We start from the raw sequence: 17,888 nt of genomic DNA on the forward strand, positions 1-17,888 counted from the left end.
GTCTACTTTTTGTAAACTCTTTGCATCTTTTTTCTTTAATTCTCCCAACACCCACAGAGTGGAATTATTATTATCCATCCACCATTTATTTAATAGACAAGAAAACTCAGGCTAAGCAAAACTAGATGACTTAAATAATTCTATGTAGGAGTAGGGAAAATGAATTTTAACTGGGACCGTACAAATCACTAGTCTGCACAAAGGTCTTTTTCTCATGTGTCACTTCTATCTTGTGTCATTTTGCCAGACCTCAGAATTTAGAAAGAGGAAGCAGAGGCACTTTTTATATATCAACTGTCTGTAACTACAGCAAAATTCACATCCTGTGTAATCATAAATACTGCTCTAAGAAAGGGACAGGAAGTCTCAGAGGCTGGAGAGCAGAGCACCAAGATCGTTCTGGCAGGAACAGCCAGTGGGAGGTTCCAGCTGAGCGCTCCCCAGAGGTGAGCTGATCCCCAGCCACAGCACACAGGACCAGGCTGCGAGAACAGGTAGACACCTTGGTTTAGATCATGACTTTTGGGGAAGATTGTGTGCTTTTGAAAAGACAGCCAGGGAATTGGATTATCATCCTGTCTCTGATTCTGACCACCTGTGTGAGTTGGAGCGTCAGCTCAGTCCCCTTTTTGGGTCTCAGTTTACTCACTTGTCAAATAAGAAAATTGGGTAAAACCATTCTTAGGTTTCCCTCATTGAGGTGATTTTCCTCAATGTTCTGCATTCTCCTGGTGTGTCACTCAGTCTTACAGAGTCTACTCTCAACAAATACTGTGCAATTAGACTGAATCTTGCATTAGAACCCCATGGTCCTACTCTAATTCTGTAATACAGAAAATTGCTGGGCAGAGCTGTTGACCTCCATGTCATGATTTATCTTCAAAGCACGGATTTTAGAGCTGTCTTGAAAGCTGTGGGTCCCTCCAGTCTATCTCCTCAAGGCGAATGTGGAAGGACAAAGCATCCTCTCAGACTGTGGTGTTTGGAGATGATAGCATCAGTCTGGAGACTTTTGTGAAACATAAAGAATCTTGGTTATATAGGATTCCTTCTAAAAGTAGCAACGTGTATCTAAATTCAAGTGTCATAGATTTAAATGTAATAATTCCACTTCCATACATCACTGTGAGATAATTAAATGCAGGAGGTATCACAAAAGTGCAAAGATGTTCATTATTGCATTGTTCATAGTGGCAAAAAGAAAAAATAGAAACCACCTAAATAGTCATGAACATGTGATTGATTAAATGAATCTAGAGACCTCCATTTATTTAAATATACCATTTGGCTTTTTGGTTGTAGTAAAATATGCTTAAAATAATTGTAGCCTTTTAACCATGTGTTTTTTTGTTGTTTTTTGTTTGTTTGTTTGTTTGTTTTTTAATTGAGAAAGAGTTTTGCTCAGTCACCCAGGCTAGAGTGCGTGATCTCGGCTTACTGCAACCACTGTCTTCCAGGTTCAAGCGATTCTCCCATCTCAGCCTCCTGAGTAGCTGGGATTACAGGCACTCACCATCATGCCTGGCTAATTTTTGTATTTTTTTAGTAGAGACGGGGTTTCACCATGTTGGCCACGCTGGTCTTGAATTCCTGACCTCAGGTGATCTGCCCGCCTCGGCCTCCCAAAGTGCTAGGATTACAGGCATGAGCCGCTGCACCCAGCCTTAACCATTTTTAGGTGTACAGTTCAGTGGCATTAAGCACATTCACACCATTGTGCAACCATCACCACCACCCAACTCCAGAACTTTCTTGTCTTCCCAAACTGGAACTCCGTGCCCATTAAACAATAGCTTTCCATTCCCCTCTCCCGCCAGCCCCTGGCAACCACCATTCTACTTTCAGTGAATTTGACTCTTCTAGGTGCCTCACATAAGTAGAATCATACAATATTTGTCCTTTTGTGACTGGATTATTTCACTTGCCATATTGTCTTCAAGGTTCATCCATGTTGTGCCATGTATCAGAATCTATCATTTGCTTTTAAATTTAGGCTTTTTATTATTTCTATTCATCGGTCAAAGATGTCTACAGAATAATGTTGAGTACAAAAAGAACAGTTATAAAATGGCATGGATAGAATGACTATTTCCGTAGAATTGTGAATGTCTGTGAACATATATAAAGAGGAGAGAGATAAAGTGACAGATGGGAAGAGAGAATGTAAAGAATATGTGCATAGGAAACAAGAGTGATCGGGTGGCAGTTGAAAGTTAAGGAGCTAATTTGTTTTCTTCTTCAAACTGTATTCCCTTGTAATGGTGGTACTTTATGCACTCTTTCAAACAGAACAAACAGTTAAGAAATAACAAAGGAAAATAAATGTTCATGGTATCAGATAGGCTATAGCCTGAAAGTATCAATTAAACTTTCGAGTCCTAGCTTCAGGCTGAGAATCAAGCATTTTCTGCAGTCCTTAGGTATGAGATTCGAAAAATAAAGAAAGGAACCCAGAACTCAGGAGGCTGGTGACGAAGACTAGTAGGAAGGAGTCTAGTTGGTATATTTGGGCTATTGAGCCACACAGAGCAAGGTAAAAGCCAAGTTTCTACAACATGAAAGCAAGTTGGGAAAAAGAAATCTTCAACCTATATTCCCTAAGATCAGCAATGTCCCTGGGAGAGGATATGGAACTGATGAGTGGCAGCCAATGCTTCAACAATAGGGGAGGAAGAATAGAGAGGATGAGAATCAGTTGTAGCTAGCCGGGCAAGAACAAACCTACAGGGATATAGAAGAGCTCTGGTGTTAGATGGCCTGTGCCCAAATCTTGCCTCCACTACCTGCTAGATAAGCAATCTTGCACAAGCTATTTCACCTCTCCAAGCCTCATTTTTCTTATCTTCAAAGTTCAGCACCCATCTCTGAGACTGCAGATTAAATGAGACTGTCACAAAGCTCTTAATAGAATGCCACATTCATAGTACGTGCCCAATCAATGTTAGCAATGATTATCATTTTATCATGAACTACTGTTTGATTCTGGAACCTAGAATTTCTCTAAGCCTGACACTTTTTCTCCTTCTCTGGCTTTAAAGATGTGCTGGAAGGCTCACCCTGACTCCACTGCAGGGATTCAGCTTCAACATTATTCCCCTCATAGGACATGTAACCTCACCCACACTTCTACCCAGATTTCAAAATTCCAAGAAATGAAAACTATCTCCTTAAACAAAGAGAACTTTAGGTTTAATAATTCTTCAGATAAAGTATCTCATGCCCGGAGAGCATGAGAAACTAGACTAAGGCACAGATCTAGGAGTAGAAATAAAATGGAGGTCCAAACATGGATCGACTATTATGGAACACCTGATAAAACTCAGAGAGTTACAACAAAAGACACTCACGTGTGTCATTCAAATCCTCACAAGAGTCCTTCAGGATAGTGTCATTATCCTTATTTTACAGATAAGGAAACTGGGGATGAATGAGGGAAAGTATCCTGCCTACGGCCAGCTCATCAATATCAGAACTGGGCTTCCAATGAATATTAGATAAAACTGATATGTTTTGGGAGTTTATCACATGCCTCCCCCTATGCTGAGTCCATTATATGTGTCATCTTATCCAACCTGTACCACAAACCTATGAAGTGGTGAAAATACCTTGCCCAGGGTGAGTTTAGCAGTAACTGGTGGATATGGGATCTGAACACACGACTGGACTCCAAGACATATGGTCAGATGTGCAACTAGATGCCTAGGCATTGGACTCCCATCCCAGTGCACTTTTCCATCTCCCTCACTAGGAAGAGATTCTAGGTGTCATTTCCAATTTTTACATGTTCTTCACTCCACCCAAGAGAGGCCAGAACCATTCCTAAAGCACCAACACATTGAGGCAAAATGTCAGGCAGCAGAGCTGTGGCACCTTTCAAGGATGACAAGCCTTTAACTAAACTCTGGCCTTCAGTAGGGAGAATGTTGAGCTGAAAACAAATCTGGGCAACATTTCAGGTGCTGAGCCTTGTTGCTGACACCACAGAGGCCCAGCAATGCTGCTGAGTTAGTGGTGGCAGACAACTTGCTCCTGGAATCTACAAGGGAACTGGAAATGTTAGGAAGGAAGAAAGGAAGGAAGAGGAAGAGGAGGAGAATTAACATGGCATAGAGAAAAAAATATCACAAGCGTCTGAGCCAGACAAGTCTCAATCCAGTCATGTAAACACAGGCTGTTAATATTTGCTACCATATATTGAACACATTCTAAGTGCCAGGCTAAGTACTTTATGTGACTATTTCATTCAATAAAAGTCACTTGAGCTTATTAGCCCCAGGTTTCTAATGTATAAAATTGATTTAATAACATGTAAGTTACAGGGTTGTTATAAGGATTAGAGCTGCAATGGTCTAATGCTTGGAATTCAGCAGGAGTTAAGTAAATGTTTACATTACTAATTACGAAGCCAATATAAGCAAGGAGGAAGATTCCGGATGGGACAGGCCATCTCGCTATAGGAAAGGAAAGTGGAACAGCATTCATCCTCAACATTTTTACGAAGACAAAATGAAGACTGGAGTAGAAGACTGATCAGTGCAGGTGTAGCATAAAAGTGTAATCCTGGAAGATGTGGTGTGAGAAGGTAGCACAAGTGAAGCAGAGATACAGGAGATAGGGAAGGGAAGCTGGAAGCAGAGGTCACTGGAGGGAGAGGGAGATGGACACATTCAGGGCTACAAAGCAAGTTCTATGTGATTTGCTCACCTCTCAATTGTGGGACCCCTCAAAATGTGTACAGTACTCTCCCAGTGACATGCTTCTTGACCACAATGGATGAACTGTGCCCAGCATGCCCACTTTCCAATGCTCCACTGATCCCCATGTTTTGTTTCTGAAGGACAACCAGCCTTGGAATAATGGCAAATACCTTCTTAAGTTCCTACAAAGTATGGTCCCTGGGAAGTTTATGTCTGTAAGTCAAACCTTGGGAAGTAACTGAGTTTTGATGCCTCTTCCAGCATCATCAGCATCATGCTATTACAATCCCAAACCATGGGGGTTTCTCACAGCTTTACACCAAAGGGCATCACTATCCCTCAAAGAGAGAAACCTGGACACATGTACCAAAACGAAGATTACCTGCAGAACGGGCTGCCAACAGAAACCACCGTTCTTGGGGTAAGTCCACCTCATTATAAGGGGAATACTGAGAAAATACTTTGTAAATGTATCTAGACTACAGATCTACAGTGGGTCTGGGAAACTCTTTCACTCTTTTCTGGCTGACTCCAGGCTAATGAGGACATGAAATGGAGCTTTAAGGGAAGACTCTTAAAGCTCTGCAGCAGTTTCTAGAAACTAAAACCACTAGATCTTTTTCACTAGCATGCTTCACAATTAACAGGTTAGTCTTTCTTATTTTATTTATTTATATATTTATTTATTTTGAGACAGAATCTCCCTCTGTCACCCAGCATGGAGTGCAGTGGCACGATCTCAGCTCACTGCAACCTCCGCCTCCTGGGTTCAAGTGATTCTTCTGCCTCAGCCTCCCGAGTAGCTGGGACTATGGGTGCACGCCACCACGCCCGGCTAATTTTTGTATTCTTAGTAGAGATGGGGTTTCACCATACTGGCCAGGCTGGTCTTGAACTCCTGACCTTGTGATCTGCCCGCCTTGGCCTCCCAAAGTGCTGGGATTACAGGCATGAGCCACTGTGCCCAGCCACAAATTAGTCTTTCTTATTTTGTCATTAGTACAGTAAAAATTTTCTATTTAACCATATGGATTTTACTCAATATGATTAAATTAACTTTGAGCTTATTTTTCAAATATTTTGAGATGAGACGATCAAGACTAATCTCATGACCCATTTTTCCCCGTTCATATGAGTAACTATAAGACATCCAAGTGTCCCAGATCATCATCCCTCATATCCAGAACTTTAATCTCCATGTGGTTTTGAATACCCTCTTATAATACCCAGGTCCTATTCACTGCCTATTTAGATGGATCTCCCTGCCCTGTTTCTTTACAATCTATTCTTAGTACAGCAGGTAGGGTACTCTTTTAAAAATGAAAGTTAGATCATGTATTCTCCTGGCTCAAAATTATCCAGTGGGATTCCTTTTTTGCTCAAAATGAAAAGCAAAGTTGGTAAAACATAGCCTAAAAATCCCTACATAGTTTGTACCATGCCTCCAGTACTTCACAAGCCTCATGTCCTACTACTTTGCTCTTAACTCTATTCTGCCTTGCATGGAACTTGTCTGTACCTTTACAGACAAGACATAGTACACATATAAGCTCTCCAATGGTAGTGATTTTCATTTGCTTCATTCCCTCGTGCCTGGCACACAACATACCTGTTGTGGTATTCAATAACTGTTGATGATGTGAATGGTTGACTTCTTTTTTTATTTCTCCTATGTTTGCATCATCTTTCAATTGCACATGCATTAAACTATGAGCAAAAGCATGGGCTTTAGAGCAAGCTAACAGCTAAACTTCAGTTCTTCCACTTGCGAAATAATTATTATTAAAATCCAATGATGAACAAAATAAGATGAATTACAGCAGAAGAGATGACCTGCTCTATCTAATTTCAACTGAAAAATCTCTTCATTAACACTCCTGTGAAAAGTTTGCTCTCTATTTCCACCTCACTGGACAACTTTTTTATCTACTTTTCAAGAAAATAAATTTAAAAACTGTCAAGTATCTTTTTCAAAAAAAGTTAAAATGTGTGTATGATCACTTTCCGATTTGCTGGTTTAATAATCCTATCAGAAAAGAAGAGGTTAGCTATACATGACTTTCTCTAGAAGCATATCGATTGGCTCCTTGTAACATTTTTCCTCTTTAATATAACAAATTATAATGTATTTTATACTCTTTATACTTTACCGTGTGCATTCAAATAATCACTTTTATCTGTTTGAAGTGCAGTCTAGATTTCCTGTCTTCTCTCTTGTAGACTGTCCAGATCCTGTGTTGCCTGTTGATTTCAAGTCTGGGGGCCATCTTGGTTTTTGCTCCCTACCCCTCCCACTTCAATCCAGCAATTTCCACCACTTTGATGTCTGGGTACCCATTTTTAGGAGCTCTGTGTGTGAGTAGAATGGGGACTCTAAGAGGGGACATGCTTTATAAATGCTAACCAGGTGCATAGTCGTGGAGTGACTCAGACTCCAAGAGGCCAGGAGGCAAAAGGCGGCAAGGCCTCGACTTTCCTTCTATCATTGCCCCACGTCACATTTCCCCTATTCAAGAAGAGCAGCAGAGAGACTTAATCTGTCTTCCTGCAGAGCAGGGGGCAAGAGGGAATGGTAATACAATGGGTATACCAGCACAGAATTTCTTACCTGGCATTACAGCATACCTCTAGAAAAGTGGATGATTTTCCATATCCCTCTTTGAGGCTTTGATGAGGCCATTGGATTCCCTCCATTGTAAGAATAATCAACTTTTCAGGTAGAGAGTGAGAAGGCCATTTTTAAACAATAAAACGAGCACCACTGGTTGATGCCACAGGTTTGCAGAGATTTGGATTAACAAGGGTAAGATTCATGGGAGGCAGGGACATGCTTGCTGTGTGTCCAGAGGTAACCCTGAGCACTAGAGAAACTCTCTTTGCTGCCTTCCACCTAATGGCTCATGAAAAAGGGCCCAGTAGATCCATTTTTCAGAGAGTGGCCAGGGCAGACTCACACTTCCCACAAAGGGTTATTTCTTCTCCACGTAGTATTTGGTACAAAGGATAAAAATCAAATATTCTGGGCAAATGAACTATACTAAGGTACCACTTCTGTGTGGATACAGTCCCTGTGTGAACACAAACTGTGCAGTCACATAAGGAGGCCCTGGTCCTGCCCCAGAGCACAATTTGTCCTTGACTTCTCCTGTAACCAGTGGTTGTGGGCCCCACATCTCCTTAGAGAAGCTAGCGTTAGCTCATACTGGACCCTCTTTGCCTGTGATTATTCAATATCCAAGCCACACACTTAAGCAACTTTTCAGCTTCTCAGAATACCCTTCCTCTGCCAGCTGGATCTTTAATACCACTGAGATTAAATACTGATTTCTGGGGCTTTATGATAAAGACTTCACGTCTGAGCCTGCTCTTCCCACTTTCCTCGACTCCCATTCTGACTCAAGCAACATACACCAATAACTTCCAGTCCATGTGTTTCTGCACCTTGTCCCATCAGAGCCTCTTTCCTGAGTGCTTCTGTTGGCTGTTCCAATCTCTCTGTCCATTCAAGTCATTGGTCCATCTCAACCTCCTCTCTTTCAACCCTGTAATTTAGTAACACTCTTCTCCTTCCCAGGTACACCTTTTCTCCAGGCCTCCTCAGTTCCTAGTGATTTCCACTAAAACAAATCCAACCCCTCTGTGCATCTGCATGTCATTCAAAGTCAATATAGACATTCTTATATCAGGTGGGAATTAGGCCTATCTAGCAATATAGATCCACAAGATTTCTGCAGTGTTCTCTCCCTAAAAGTTTTCCAACATCACTTTTTGATTGAGTGATTGACAGTGACATGGTGGGCACATTTCCACAAGACAACTGAACTGATCATTTCTCTCTCTTCTGGGCAGTTTGGCATTACTGGATCCCTCTCAATTATCTCTGGAAAACAATCAACTAAGCCCTTTGTAAGTATAAGGACCATCAAATCTCAGCTGGTTGGAATTGAAGGAACGTCAGAGTTAATTCTTCTAGTTTAAAAATCCCTATTTTACAATTTAGAGAGAAAAAGCTTAGAACAGGCTAGGAAGCCCAGGTTTTCCTGGCTGTCCCATTGGTAGAACCAAGAGTAGAGCCCAAATTTCTTGCCTTCTAGACCAGTGCTCTTTCGTCTACACAATGTTGCTCCTGGATTATATTCCAAGCTTGGAGGAGGTTTACCTCAGTTATTTAAAAAGTGTACATTTTTAAATGTACCATGGACTCTTTATAGCTTGTAACCTTGACCTTGAATAAGGTAGCCACCCATCCCAGAGAGAGCCTACAGATCCTTTTTTCTATAAAACCTGCCTCTTGGGGTTCTTTTTGATGCCAAATGTCCCCATTCATAGAGTTGGGACTTCACACAAATTCTAGCCCTTCAGCGTCAGGGTGACCAATTGTTTGGTTTTCCCAGGACTGTCTCAGTTTTAGCCCAGAAAGCCTATATCCTGGGAAACCCCTTACTCCCCAGGCAAAGCAGAATAACTGGTTTACCCTACTCTGTGACCGTGGTAACAAGTTGAAAGAAGTCCATGATATATTTTCAAAGTTCTACTATTTAAGCAACTGAAATAAACTTCTTTCAGTCAAATATCAGGTGGGGAGGCATTCATTCCCCTGTCAGAAGAGGGTGTTGCCGTCTTCATCCAGGCTGGAGGAGACTATTTCCATCCAAAGACTCATGCTTGATAATTGGATGTTTGAGAAAAAAAATCAGTTTAAAGTAAGGTGGGAGAAAATGAGGGTGATGGAGTAGGGGTGAGGGGGATGTCTGCAATGTCAGCACTGATTGCAGCACCAAACTCAAAGACAATACCACTCATGCCACTGCCAACATACCCCTGGCTTCCTCAACAACTTTAGAATTATTATATTGCCCTAAGTGCATCTAGAATATGACCTTTGGTCCCTCCCTAGAAACCCAATGTATGTCTTCTTACTTAAAAGAGCGGCTTCAGAGAAAAGACAAAAGCAAACTGAAGAAGTTGGAATACCTACCTACAGGTGGATCAGGCCTATGAGAACCACATTCACCACACCATTTCCCAACTCCTCTTCTACATTTTAGGAGACAGGATTCTCCCATAGCATGACGATTCACTAGCAAAGACACTGATGTGCCAGGCTCTGTGCGAGGTTTCCAGCACATGCTCCTCTCTGTTTAAGCATCACTGGAAGACAATGTATGTTGGGAAGGATGGTTGTCCTGCCCTTTTCTACTCCAGCTCTGTAGCTATATGGATTCATGTGCTGAGTCTTTGAAGGAAAAGTAGTCCCAGTGGGCAGTATCTTTGCCCAAAGCTACCATATGAGCAATGGAGCCCACATGTTGTTCTTTGTCCCACTTGTGGAGCCCACATTGTTGTCAAGTCCAAGCATAGATTTCCCTTTCTGTGTATTCAGTGCATTTGGGAAGCCACTTCTGAGATCAGAAGATTCATCTTCCACATTTTATAAAAGAGATAACTGAAGCCCAGAGTAAGAAGGACTTGCTCAAGCACACAGATGGATCAGTGACAGATGGGTCAGTGACAGAGCTGGGATAGGAGGAGAGGATTTCAGTTTCTAAGTCCAGAACTATGACTCCAACCAATGAATGCTGTGAACTCTTCAAAACCCTCTTCCATAATCCTGGGTTCTAGACTGCAGCTTCAATCATCAGGAGCATATACCAGCCTCATGCACCATCCATGTGTCCTCATCTGTGCCTAGCCAGGCCCTGTATCTTCTTGAGTCAGGATGTGGCTTTTCCCTAAATCACCTCTATGGGTGTGTGGCAGGGAAGAGAGAAAGGCTGCTACGGAGAGAAGCAAAGGCTTTATAGCTGCTTCCTCCCTTTCTCCCTCCAAGGTTTGTGGGAAAAGTGGCTACAGTCTGATAATATTTCTGTTTGTGAATGGGTGGAGAGAGAAGCACAGGGTCTAAGCCCATGTGCCTCTGCCTCATGCCCTGTCACTTAGGAAAATCGAAGGCATATGCTTGTCATATTGAACAAATATTGATTGTCAATTCAAGATCAATTGCTTGTCAATTGAAAGCCTATTTTATGTTCCCACAGACCTATAGATAGGTTTTCCAACTTTTCCAGTTTGCCTCCACCTTTTCTCTGAAGCTGCTCTTTTATGTAAATCAAAGTCATGGATTCAGTTTACCAGAGGGGACCGAAGTCCATATTCTAGAAGCCCTGAAGGCAACAGAATGATTCTAAGGCTATTGAGGAAGTCATGGGAGATGTTGGCAGTGACCTGAGCAGCACTGTCTCTATCTTGAGTGCTATAGAGAGTCAATGGGCCAGAACCCCTCTCCCTAAGGAGGAATTATCCATGCATTTTCTTATTCAATAAGCATTTACTAATTATATCACATGATTAACTAAATAGCGACAAGAGATACAAAGATGAATAAAACACAGTTTGTGCCCACACAAGGAAACAGGAAGGAAACAGACCCAAGGAAGCACCATTGCAGTACAATGGACAGAGGACTAATAGTGTCACGTGCTGATTCTGTGATGAGAACCCAATGCAGAGTTTCTCTTCCAGGACCTGAGCAGCTTGACCTCAAATGCAGTGAGTTCTGTTACTGCAGGAGCAGGCCTCTTCCTCCTTGCTGACAGCATGGTAGCCCTGAGGACTGCCTCTCAACATTGTGGCTCAGAAATGGATTATCTATCCTCATTGCCTTATTCGGAGTACTATTATCCAATATATGAAATCAAAGATTGTCTCCTGACCAGTGTCAGTTTAACAGTGAGTAGTTTCAGACTGAATATCCTGTCATGTGAAATCTCTGTGTCTCCCCTTTGCATACTCTCTGCTTTTCTGGCAGTCTCTGGTTGGTCGGTCCGAATGCCTGGAGACAGACAGAAATAAACAAAAACTTGTGGTTGGAAGAGGCCTGTCTGCTGACTGCATGGTGTGGGGGATGTACTATAGAAAGTCAAAAGAGGAAATCATGAAGGACAGTAGGGAGTCTATCCCTCCACTGGTCTTTCTTAATCACAAACGTTCCAACCTTAATGGGTTTAACTCTTAAAGTACAACCTTTGTTGTACTCATCACAGGCAGAAATATTCTTCCTACTCATCACAGGCAGAAATATTCTTCATTTGAATTATATTTTAATTTGGGATTCTTTTGGGTTCTTTTCCAGGGGTTGGATGCCCCTACCCCTTAAAGATGCTTGTCTTCTGATCATCAGTGAATTGAGGACTAGCAGAGGCTGTACGGTGTTTAAGTTAATCTTCAAATGCAAGCCTGTATGCTACATTATGTTAGGCACAAAACTTGAACCTTAAGTCCAAATACATAGTTATTTTGTACTTTGGTCTAACAGGGCTGACAGAGAGTGGTGGGAAGGGAGACAACGGATTTGACTTCTAGAAAAAATGTCAACCTCTCTGGGCAGCATTTTCTTGGCACCTTTCTCCCAAACTTGATGATCACTACCTGTTCGTGGTGACAAGCCTTGCTTATTCAATCCTATAAATATAGTATCATGGTGTTAAAACCATAAACCAGTGGCCTTTTAAGAAGAAAGACTTCTTCCTCTATGAATCCTCCTAGTAGGAGCACAGGGAACCCAAGGTAGTATCTCTCATTCCCTTGGATCCATCTATCTCACAAATCTCAGAAAATGTGTGCAAGCTTTTGCACTCCTGTGGGTCTGCTCATGTGACCCAGAGATTGTCAAAAGCAACCCCTTTGGTTCAGGAGCTTGAGGAAGTGGAAGAGCACAGAGACCTGTCTGGAGGAAACCCAGTAGATAGTGTCATCCTGGTGTAGGACAGACATGTGGTAAAGCAATGGGGGTGGGAGAGGCATATTGGGGGTTTAATTTAAAGAAAATGAATTTCATTACCCCAAACTGCTTCCCATTCTGAGACAACTGGAGTCCAAAAGAACTTCCTACAATATGAGAGAAGTTGCAACATAGCAGACTAAGCAGACTCCAAAGGCCTACTCTTTGTTAATTAACACAGCAATTACCTGAACAAAAGTAATGAAATTTTAAAAATTAAAAAATATATAGCCAAAGTTGGAAGAAGAAAGGAAGGGAGGGCAGAAGGAAAAACAAATCTAAGAAGAAAGATGACTTAGGTTCCAGAAGCTAAGAAGGATCCTAAAGCCAAATCATCAAACAAGAGCTGAGGCCAAAATACCAAGGAAGTCTGAATAGGAATATTGGTATTAGAGGCTAGGATCACACAGTTTTAACATCCATGACAAGATTTGGCATTGGACAGGGCCATAAAGCTCATATGGAGTACCCTGCAAAAATGTTGAAAGCTGATACTGAATATTTACTCAATTTGTGAAAATAATATAAGGAAAATTCTGCCCAACATCCCAAGAAGTTTCAAGAAAACCTTCCGTCAGCTCACTAAGCTTTGTGCAAGTGTGCCATCTGAATTCATAATTACATATAAAATAGGGGGACCTCAAATAAAAGCATTAAGTTAAAAACTGTTACGAGATATGTGAAACTTCTAAGGTTCTAGCAGAATCAAATCTAAAACTACTATCTAAGGAGATGTCCGTAAACCCAACTTATAAGATGCCTCCCTATCAAAGAACCCTACCACTACCACCATCTACAAACTGAAGTTATCTAATAACCAAAATATTATGAGAAACATAACAACAGCACAAAAAAATGAGTAGCGGCAGCAAATGGGGAAACATGAAAGTCAGAAGCTCAAGAATTGGAGATAACATAATAATTTGAACAAGGCTATTATGAAAATACATTTTAAATCATTAAAGATGTTTAAAAAGTAATAGAAACCAGGCCAGGTGCAGTGGCTCACAACTGTAATTCCAGCACATTGGGAGGCTGAGGCGGGTGGATCACCCGAGGCCAGGAGTTTGAGACCAGCCTGGCCAACATGGTGAAATGCTGTCTCTACTAAAAATACAAAAATTAGTCAGGGAGGGTGGTACATGCCTGTAATCCTAGCTACTTGGGAGGCTGAGGCAGGGGAATCACTTGAACTCGGGAGGCAGAGGTTGCAGTGAGCTGAGATCACACCATTGCACTCCAGACTGGGTGACAGAATGAGACCCTGTCTAAAAAAAAAAAAAAAAGTAATAGAAACCAAAATGGAAAAAAAAAAAAAGGACAGTAAAGGAAAAAAAAGATATGTGCATTTGAGAAAAAAATGAAATCACATACTTGGAAATGAAAATTGTCTTTGAAATTAAAAACTGAGCAGATCAGTTAAACAGCAGATTCAATATATTCAAGGAAACAAAGAGTGAAATGGAATTTAGATTTGATTAAATCACACAGAACACAACACATTATGTGTGTTTGGAAAAGATGGATGAAAGCCTAAAAGGTATGATGGATGCAGGGAAGTGGAGAGGTTCAGTACATATCTAGTAGGAGTCCCAGTGAGAGATTATAAAAGAGAGAGTATATGCAAAAGTAAATAACTAGAAATTTTTTAGAATTTAATAAAAACATGAGATTTCAGATTGAAGGAATGCATTGAGACCACTGCAGGATACACAGAATCAAATACACACCTAGAAATATCATCATGACAATAAAAACACCATAGTCAAAAAGAAAATAATAAAAGCAACCAGAGATAAGTGGCAGATTACTCTCATCTATCATTAGGTGGGATACCAAAGTTCTGAGATGATGCCGTTGCTGCTTATTTCCCTTCATCTATTAAGAAATCTGAAAAAGAAAGCAGAAAAGAGGATTAAGCAATTTTCCCTGTCTCCTTTTCTCTGCATTGCTGGAGCCTCATCGCCCTGTCTCCTCTTAGCCAGGCACAAGGGCTAGCTTGTCTTGGGTACCAGCCATTCATGTCCTGATTTGCAGGGTGTCCTAGTGGTGATGCTCATCTTCACTGTGCTGGAGCTCTTATTAGCTGCATACAGTTCTGTCTTTTGGTGGAAACAGCTCTACTCCAACAACCCTGGGGTGAGTATGCTGACATGTCGCCTGATACCTGCTGTGTCTCAGGTCCAGGCTACAATAATCCAACCTCAAAAAGTGGCAAAAAGAAGAATCAATTATTGTTCATGAGGTGCATGTGGAAGGCCACTTTTATAATTAAAAAAATGAGTTTAACAGTGAAACCCCATCTCTACTAAAAATATGAAAAACTAGCCAGGTGCAGTGGCACACGCCTGTAGTCCCAGCTAGTTGGGAGGCTGAGGCAGGAGAATTGCTTGAACCCAGGAAGTGGAGGTTGCAGTGAGCTGAGATCACACCACTGCACTGCAGCCTGGGTGACAGAGTGAGACTCAGTCTCAAAAAAAAAAAAGAGTTTGTATAAATGGGCTCCTTCTGGAGGACACTCTGGTCATCTGGGATCAGCTGGTGTCTACTGGGAAGCAGACCAGTTAGAGAATTGCTTAATATGAAGCTAGTTGGTTTTAGAAATCACATAGCCCAACCCCTCATGAAAGAACCACGGCTTGGATAAAATTACATAGAAAATGAATGACACAGACTATTGGGCTGAGAATGAGAACGCGTATCCCCTCACTTTTATCGGGAACACAGCTACCTGCCTCCCGAGAGAGTCTCCCTAGCCAAGTTTCCTTGTTAATGTGATGAGACTTTACTAGAATGTCTCTGTCCTGTTTATGCTTCCCTGTGCTCTTCCTTACATCCCCTTAGCTCTTGATGTTATAATTTTAAAATATTTTCATTTCCCCTAAAGGCTACAACAACAAAAGAAATGTTTATAGAATTTGGATGAATTATGATTTAACTATGATCCTATTTAAAATAGTAAAATAATTAGCAGACTGGAGAATTGCATTATTTTTAATTAATATTGCTGCAATTACATATTATGGCAAAGTTGGAAGAACTAGTACTACACAAAACTTGGGGAAAAGGTATTATGAGTTATCTTTTTTAATCTCCGAAATCAAAGTTTAAAAATTCTAACCAATTATGTATTTTCTAGAGTTCATTTTCCTCGACCCAGTCACAAGATCATATCCAACAGGTCAAAAAGAGTTCTTCACGGTCTTGGATATAAGTAACTCTTGGCCTCAGAGGAAGGAAAAGCAACTCAACACTCATGGTCAAGTGTGATTAGACTTTCCTGAAATCTCTGCCATTTTAGATACTGTGAAACAAACTAAAAAAAAAAAAGCTTTTGTTTTGTATTTGTTTACTATGAGTCGTTATTTAATTTCTCTTGAAAATAATTTCCTCAAAGCCCAAGTCAATAAATGTTATCAGCCAGTCTTCCAAAATGGTCATAAACTTTATAAACTGCTTTGGGTAAACTGAGCAGAAGGTGATACACAGAAGGGAAAATGTGCACTCATGCTAGTGTGAATTTGGTAAGTTGCGTGACTCTGCAGGCTGTTTCTGTATTATTTTCACACTCATATTGCTTAAATATTACATATTAGGGATTGTAAGAAAACTTTAATTAAAAATTAAAGACTATATATAATTAAACTACTCTGCCCTGGACACTCTCTGAGAAACAGATCTACTGGGCCCTTTTTCATGAGCCATTAGGTGGAAGACAGCAAAGAGATCTTCTCAAGTGCTTAGGATTACCTCTCAACACACAGCAAGCATGTCCCTGCCTCCCATGAATCTTACCATGTAAATCCAAATCTCTGCAATCCTGTGGCACCAACCAGTGGTGCTCATTCTATTGTTTAAAAATGGCCTTCTTGGCTGGGCGCGGTGGCTCACTCCTGTAATCCCAGCACTTTGGTAGGCCGAGGTGGACGGATCACCCGAGGTCAGGAGTTTGAGACCAGCCTGGCCAACAAGGTGAAACCCTGTCTCTACTAAAAATACAAAAAATTAGCCAGGCATGGTGGTGCGCACCTGTAGTTCCAGCTACTTGGGAGGCTGAGGCAGAAGAATCACTTGAACCCGGGAAGGGGAGGTTGCAGTGAGCGGAGACTGCACCACTGCATTCCAGCCCGGCCTACAAGAACAAAACTCCATCTCAAAATAAATAAAAAAATAAATAAAAATAAAAATAGACTATATATAGTCTTTGAATTCATTTATTTTAAATAAATGAATAAAATAAAATAAAAAAGAATATTCAGTCGTTGGCACATAAACTATGTTCTCTTCTGTCATTTCAGGGTAGGAGTCAATGAAGACATCTTAGTCTTAACAAGTTACAGATAATCTCTGACTGGCATGTTTTCTGCTTCTAGCTTGGAGCTAAATGCTGCTCATGCTGAAAAGAATAATGTCTATTTCTTTGTTTGGGTATTAGCTCTATTTTGATCTATAGCACAGTTTTGTAATTCAGATCATCACCCCTGCACTTTGTACCACATGGGCGTATTCTTTCTTCCCAGTCATTGCTGCAATTATCTTGTCTGTTCTTTGTGTAATATGTTCTGTGTGAGCCTCTGCATTAAACTCGATTTCTTGGGCAATTATGGAAATTCCAGTGTGGCTGCAGTTTAACTTTGCACTCTCTATGCATATGAGGTTTCCTAAATAAATGAGGAGTAGCATAGTTTAAAATATATATATCTTATAACTTTCTACAACAAAGAATTATTGAGTCCAAATGTCATCAGTGCTCATTTTGAGATACCCTGCTATCGATGGTCGCTACAAACCAGGAAATACTCAAGTTATTATGTGTATACATTGGTTTTAGTTTTATGAAACAATTTACCTTCATGATCTCATAGTTAAAATTGTAATAAATTTAGGAATATAAAGGATCAATATGGGAAGCAAAATTTCTAAAGGCAGTTTCTGTTGTTTTAATTAGTATTTGTGTAGTTCAAACCAGGAAGGATTTGACTATCATTAGATTTTGCTTAACTTTATGAAAGCTAAAATATTCTCTGTTATAAAGGGGCAACTCCATCTGGTCCTATAGCATCTTTACTACTGATTTTTTTTTGTTTAATTTGAAAATGCAAAGAATTGTTAAATGTTCTTAAATGTTCTCACTACAAAAAAAGAAAAAAGATAACTACGTGAGGTGATGGATATGTTAATTAGCTGGATTGTGGTAATCATTTTGGAATGTATATGTATATCAAAACATGTAGTACACCCTAAATATATATAATTTTTATTTGTCAAATATACCTCAATAAAGATGGAAAAAAATCGAAATTCAAAGTTATCTACTGATTTTTATAATACAGAGAAATATGGTTAAACAGTAAGTTAGAAAATTCATCAAGTAAAAGAAACTCCTTTCAAAGGAGGGCAGAAGCGTGGCT

At 40.6% G+C, this 17,888-nt stretch overlaps 1 protein-coding gene across 4 annotated transcripts, besides 2 other annotated features; it reads left to right on the forward strand.

Moving 5' to 3' along the window:
- Nucleotides 314-363: an enhancer, noted in NCBI's record as "active region_4768". NCBI's record gives its function as "activates an Ori minimal core promoter by ATAC-STARR-seq in GM12878 lymphoblastoid cells {active_cell/tissue: GM12878}" and the evidence as "EXISTENCE:reporter gene assay evidence [ECO:0000049][PMID:35858748]".
- MS4A7 (membrane spanning 4-domains A7) lies at nucleotides 362-17,778 on the forward strand. 4 transcript variants are annotated; one of them, NM_021201.5, is made up of 7 exons: nucleotides 362-494; nucleotides 4,959-5,118; nucleotides 6,918-7,052; nucleotides 8,547-8,603; nucleotides 11,220-11,426; nucleotides 14,515-14,616; nucleotides 15,617-17,778. In NM_021201.5, the coding sequence occupies exons 2-7, from the start codon at nucleotides 4,972-4,974 to the stop codon at nucleotides 15,689-15,691; spliced, it is 723 nt and encodes a 240-aa protein (NP_067024.1). In that variant the 5' UTR covers nucleotides 362-494; nucleotides 4,959-4,971; the 3' UTR covers nucleotides 15,692-17,778. The 4 variants fall into 4 exon arrangements, with proteins under 4 accessions (NP_067024.1, NP_996822.1, NP_996821.1 ...); NM_206939.2 differs by having other exon boundaries at nucleotides 362-446; NM_206938.2 differs by lacking the exon at nucleotides 6,918-7,052.
- Nucleotides 11,327-11,396: an enhancer, noted in NCBI's record as "active region_4769". NCBI's record gives its function as "activates an Ori minimal core promoter by ATAC-STARR-seq in GM12878 lymphoblastoid cells {active_cell/tissue: GM12878}" and the evidence as "EXISTENCE:reporter gene assay evidence [ECO:0000049][PMID:35858748]".
- Nucleotides 17,779-17,888: the final 110 nt, after the last annotated feature.

The sequence above is a fragment of the Homo sapiens genome, chromosome 11 (assembly GCF_000001405.40).
Source record: "Homo sapiens chromosome 11, GRCh38.p14 Primary Assembly".
Lineage (NCBI taxonomy): Eukaryota > Metazoa > Chordata > Mammalia > Primates > Hominidae > Homo > Homo sapiens.